The following is a 6,608-nucleotide window of genomic DNA, read 5'->3' on the forward strand; positions in this document are numbered from 1 at the left end:
GCACAGGGTTCCTGTGGGAAATAGACACCTAGGACCCCAGGTGGAGGTGAATAAAAAGGAGCTCCTAAAGACAAGATGCTCAGAGACCCTGGGGAAGAGGAGCAGGTCAGGAGCCCCGCAGCTCAAAGTTGTATAAGGACACACCCAAAGCGCTTTGAGGTGGCAGACAGACAGCTGGAAGCAGATCTTGGAATAGATGTAACAGAAATAAAAAATGGAAATAAGTCATGCTCAAAAAACTGAGACCATGATGCTGGCTCACAGAGCAGGAGGCAGCATCTGTAGGAAAGGGATCTTGGGAGCATCCTTGTGTCTTTCCTCTGTTCATCCATGTCCCACAGACCACAGGTTGGCAGTGGGAAATGAATCAGGCCCAAGAGTGCCTCATGTCCTTTGCAATTCTAGCAAGAAAATGAAATTGTCAGAGTTACACTCCGAATCCTGAGGACCTGACCCCTGGCTGTAGCATCCTCTGCATTCCTGTTGCTTCACAATCTCATCACTGACTTCGACCCCAGCTTTCACAGCCTTCCTCTCTCCTTCAAGCCACATCTTCACCAAGGTGGCACCAACCAACCATCCAATAGACACCAAATTAGAGACTCAGTGAGTCCAGGAGATTCAGGGTGCATCTTGTGTGAAAGAGCGTGACTGGCATTTCCACAGGGAACAGGTCTATATTTTTTACAAGATTATCAAAGAGTTGTGGGATCCCCACCTCGCCTAAAAAAAGAAACATTCATGGCCTGGTGCAGTGGCTCATGCCTGTAATCCCAGCACTTTGGGAGGCTGAGGCGGGCAGATCACGAGGTCATCAAATCAAGACCATCCTGGCTAACACAGTGAAACTCCGTCTCTACTTAAAATACAAAAAAATTAGCTGGGCAAGGTGGCTCATGCCTGTAGTCCCAACTGCTCAGGAGGCTGAGGCAGGAGAATCGCTTGAACCTGGGAGGTGGAGGTTGAAGTGAGCTGAGATCACGCCACTGCACTGCAGCCTGGGTGACACAGCGAGACTCCGTCTGAAAAAAAAAGAACCATTCACTGCCCTAGACTGTCAGTCCCTACCTGCCTCCCTTCTTTAGTGAAGATTCGCCTCCACCTGAATCTCATCATGAACTTTCCTATCATCGTCCGCATTGGTCCCACCCCTGAAGCAGTAGTCTCTGGTTTCCCTGACCATAACCTTTGGTCCAAATAGCTTTCTCACTTCTCCATGCTAAAGCAGATAATAAAGAATTATCTGCTTTATCAGCTGGTTGAAGACTTCTAGGCCCCTCCCTCCCCTCTGTCTTCCAGCCTTTCTACCTTCTGACCTGGCTTCCGACTGCATTCGGTCTAGGTTCCAAGGTCAATTACTCAGCCACCCTCTTACCAGCATCTTCAGATTCCCAGGCTCCTTGTCTCTTTTGTAGACCTACAAATACATCGGAGAATGCAGAATAGTGTTCTGCCACCCCCTAAAATTCAGAGGGTAAAATCTCACCCAGGCACCCACGGCATCTCAGTAATTGTGTTATTTAAACTTGGCCATCTCTTTTCTTCATTTATCTTGGCAAATCCTCCAAAATTTATCCACTCTTCCTCAAATCCCTCTATAATGAACTTCCAGCTCACATCCTTCTCAAGGAATGGCCTTGCCTTTTTCAAGAAAAGAGAGACCTGGAGGGATAAACTACCTCAACTTCCTGCTGGCTCTGCCTATGGTAGCCCTCTGTTGACAGGTGAGAAACGAGGATTAGAGAAGGATAGCGCCCTCTCCAACCACTTACAGCTAGCTAATGGCTGCAATGGAGAATGTCTCTACTCCTTTAGGTCATCTGGAAATGCTTTGTTCTCTCTATTTATTATAATTATTCTTACTGTTACGATTATGATAATTAGATAGGCTTTATTCTCCATTAAAACAACAGATACATGCTGAATGACTACTGTTATGGTTTGGCTGTGTCCCCACCCAAATCTCATCTTGAATTGTAATCCCCATAATCCCCACATGTCTTGGGAGAGATCTGGTTGGAGGTAATTGAATCATGGGGGCGGTTTCCCCTATGCTGTTCTTGTGATAGTGAGTGAGTTCTCATGAGATCTGATGGTTTTATAAGTGTCTGGTATTTCCCCTGCTGGCATTCACTCTCTCTCCTGCCGACCTGTGAAAAGGTGCATTCCACCATGATTGTAAATTTCCTGAGGCCTCCCCAGCTATGTGGAACTTTGAGTCAATTAAACGTCTTTTCTTTACAAATTACCCAGTCTCGGGTATTTCTTCATAACAGCGTGAGAATGAACTAATGCAACTACTATGAGCCATTTCTTACAATGTGAACAGTCTGTCATGCTGGCCAGCCCAAGCAGATCTGCGGGTCCGAGGATAATTGTAAAAGTGTGCAAATCCACAAGCAGTAAGTGTTCACAGGCATGCATGCTCCATGAATCTACATCTGCTCTCACAATGCTTACATGCACACACACACACACACACACACACACACACACACAGGGACACGTGTCTACAGAACACAGACCTTCTGCAGATGCAGATTCATGCGCAGGTGTGCAGGTAACTGCAGCTGCTGATTGCTTGTGTCTGGTTTTATCTGCCACCTGTCCTTGAAATACTTCCCACTGATGACCACTGCATTCCACCTGTGAGTGGAAAGGCACAATGAACTCTGCTTAACAGGTTCATGAATTTACCAGGCACTTACTTAAGATGGTTACACCACATTATAGCAAATGGCTTCTGGGGGCTCAGGAAGGGCTGTATTTACTTTCCGAGAATTACCATTAGTCCTGGATGGGAAGGTGCTAAGAGGCCGCATTAGCATGGCTTTGGTCAGTTTCACTCCCCTGAGCAGTTGCAGAATTCATGTGGGGTTTATTGATGGGCCAGTTATTCTTTAATGGGTTTCCAATTTGACTCCTGGGATAATGAGATGGGTCTTTAGGGACCATCTGTCTCTCTCCCACGGTTGTGGGCAGCTCTGAGGAGCCTGACTCCTTAACTAGCAGGTGATGGAGTGGAGATGGGGCTGAGTGTAGCACAACCTATTTGTCTCTCCCGGAGCTGAAATGCTCCCCAGAAACTCCTTTCTCCTCTCTGAGACCCCTCCTCAGTTGACATATTTGAAAGTCAAGCAAGGCTCTGCCTCAGGTAGTCAGGGGATTTGTGTCCCAGCTCTGCTGGACAAGCTTAGGCAAGTAACCAAACCTTTCTGAGTCCCAGTTTTCTCTCCAGTAAAATAAAGACATGCACCTGATAATACGTGGCATGAACTGAGGATCTACTCTGTGCTCAGCACTGTGCGAGTTTTCAGCCTAGGAAGGGACCCAAATCAGGCAACATCTCTATCCTTATGAACAATGACAAAAACAAAAACATACTGAATCACCTTAATGGATGCATGATTCAGGCTGATATAGGTGCTGGGAAGACAAGAAGCAGGACCGTGAGCAAGAGCCATGTCCTTGTCTAGGACTCCGAGAGAGTGACAGTGGAGCTGAGAGCTGAGGGGTGAGCAGGCATAAATACGTTGGAGGAGGGTGGTGAGAGTGTACCAGGCAGAGGGAACAGCTTGCGTAAAGGCCTGGAGACTGGAGGGAACATGGTGTGTTGCAGAAGCTGAAAGAGAGCCAGGAGGACTGGCATGCAGAGAAGGAAGGGATGGAAAGGTAGGCAGAATGCGGATCCTCCAGTAATTTATACTAGGACACCTTGTTAAGGATTTGGTCTTCATCTCAAGAAAAATAGACAGCTGTCAAAAGTTGTAAGCAGAGGGAAGACTCCATCCTATTGGCATTTCAAAAAGATCGCTCTGGGCCAGGCATGGTGGCTCATTCCTCTAATCTCAGCACTTCAGGGGGCCAAGGAGGGAGGATGACTTGAGCCCAGGAATTGAAGACCAGCCTGGACAACACAGTGAGACCCCTACTCTACAAAATTTTAAAAATTATGTGGGCATCATGGTGCACACCTGTGGTCTCAGCTACTTAGAAGGCTAAGGTGAGAGGATCACTTGAGCCCATGAGTTGGAGGATGCAGTGAGCTAGGATGGCACCACTGTACTCCAGCCAGCCCAGGCGACAGAGCAAGACCCATCTCAAAAAAAAAAAAAAAAAAGGAGACTATTCTGGCTGCAGTATGGACACTATATTGGAGAGGAACCAGAGAGGATGTTGACAGACTGGTTACAAGGCAATTTGTGCAAAAAATGATGGAAGCCTGTCCATAGCAGGGGCAGAGAACACCGTGAGAAGTGATATTAAGCAATTCATTGAACTGAATTTGAGCAGAGAGGAGAGAAAGCTGTCAATGATGACTCCTATATTTCCAGCTAATTCCTCACAAGGCCACTTAAAGATTAAGTGAACTCATGTGTGACTAGTGCCTGGCACACCGCAGGTGCCCAGTAAATGCCAGTTCTTGTCCCCCTGTGTCCTTCAGTTCTTTGCCACTTGATTCCCACTGACTCCTTCACAGCCATGCAAAGCTGGGACTCTAATCCCTGTTCCCTTCTCCTAGAGTGTTCTAACCTTATCATTTTTCTAATTCAGTGCTGATGTGCCAACAGGCAGCCTTGGCTTGGCAGAGCTGCCAGGGAGAAGCCAGGCACAGCTTGCGGCTGGGAACAGTTGCGCTGGGATAGTCCTTGGTGGGTTGATCCTCCTCCTGGCGGGTCTGACTAGGAGAGCTGCTGCTTTGTCACATTGATGGGCCAAGTCCCCTTACTCCTTTGCAGAAAGGAGAGGACATTTGATAAATAGGTGAAGGAGGGACACAAAACAGAATCGGAATGGAGAAAATAATAGAATTTGTGGATGGAAGAAACTGCACCCTTGGGGCTGTGTAATCACGCATGAATCCCCCCACTCTCCTAGGCTCCAGTTTTCTCATCTTTAAAATGGGGTTTATGATAGTTTTTATAATGGAGTTCCATTGTGAGAGTAAATGAGATCCTGTGACGAAAAAATGGTAAATAAAGTATAATGTGGCAAAGAAATAATTAATGTGTAAATGGCCGGTAGGGTGGCTATGAATTCAGTTAAACCTGAGCTCAAACCCAAATTATACCACTTCTGACCTGCATGTTGGAGCGGGGCAGATGAGTTACTATCTTCTCTGCACCTGAGTTTTCTCATCCACAAATAGAGATTATAATATGTAGCCCATAGAACTATGGTCAGCCTTAAAAGGGAAACCCCAGGTCCCCAATCTCGTGAAGTTTATAGTTTTAGATAGAGAAAGAATAAACAAATAAACCTATAAATCAAAGATTAGAGCAGGTGTGGTGGTTCATACCTGTAATTCCAATGCTTTGGGAAGCTGGGGTGAGAGGATTACTTGAGGCCAGGAGTTCAAAAGCAGCCTGAGCAACATAGCAAGACCCTGCCTCTACAAAAAAAATTTTTTTAAATTTTAATTAGTTGGATGTGGTGTCTTATGCCTGTCGTCCCAGCTCCTAGGGAGCTTAAGGTAGTAGGATCGCTTGAGGCCAGGACTTTGAGTCCAGTCTGAGCAAGAGCAAGAGACCCTGTCTCTACAAAAAAATTTTTTTTAAATTTATGGCTGGTGCCTGTTGTCCCAGCTACTGGGAAGCTTAAGGTAAGAGGATGACCTGAGGCCAGGAGTTTGAGTCCAGCCTGAGCAACATCGCAAGATTCTGTCCTACAAAAAAATAAAAATAAAAAAGATTAGCCAGGTGTGGTGGCATGTTCCTGTAGTCTCAGCCACTTGGGAGCTGAGGTAGGAGGATCGCTGGGGTCAGAGGCTCCAGTGAGCTATGATTGAGCCACCACTGCACTCTAGCCTGGGTGACAGACTGAGACCCTGTCTCTTAAACAAAAAAAAAAAAAAAAAACAAAAGCAAACAAACAACAAAAAGAAATGAGGTGAAAAAAATGAACAAACATAAATCAAAGATTAGTTGACAGGGCGGTTTAATTCTCTGAGGAAACCAAAACAGTGTGAGGTCATAAGAGTGGCTACCTTGGATGGGGTGTTCCTGGGGGCTTCCCTGTGGACATGACCTTTGAGCCCAGACCCGAAGGAAAAGAAAGGCCAATGACTCAAAGATCTGGAAAGATAATTCTCAATCCTGGCTGCTCATTAGAATCACCAGGAAATCACCTCCAGACCAATTGCAACAGTATTCTTTGGGGTAGAACTTGAACATATGTATGTTAATATCCAGGGGGATTTTGACACAAGATGAAGGTGGCCAATACTGAGCAGGTACAAGATGCAAGATCTCAGGAGTCTACTATTGCCTGACATCTAGTAGTATCTTGTGTTTATTTGCTAGAGCTGCCGTAACTCATATGGCAGTTTGGGTGGCTTAAAACAGTGGTCTCCAAATTTTTGGTGCCAGGGACCAGTTTTGAGTAAGACATTTTTTCCATGGATGAGGCTGTTGGGGTGGAAGGTAGTGAATGGTTTTGGGATAAATCAAGCACATTACATTTATTATGCACTTTATTTCTATTGTTATTACATTGTAATATACAATGAAACATACAACTGACCATAATGTAGAATCAGTGGTAGCCCTGAGCTTGTTTTCCTGCATCTAGACTAGATGGTCCCATTTGCGGGTGACGGAAGACAGTGA

The sequence above is a fragment of the Homo sapiens genome, chromosome 16 (assembly GCF_000001405.40).
Source record: "Homo sapiens chromosome 16, GRCh38.p14 Primary Assembly".
NCBI lineage: Eukaryota > Metazoa > Chordata > Mammalia > Primates > Hominidae > Homo > Homo sapiens.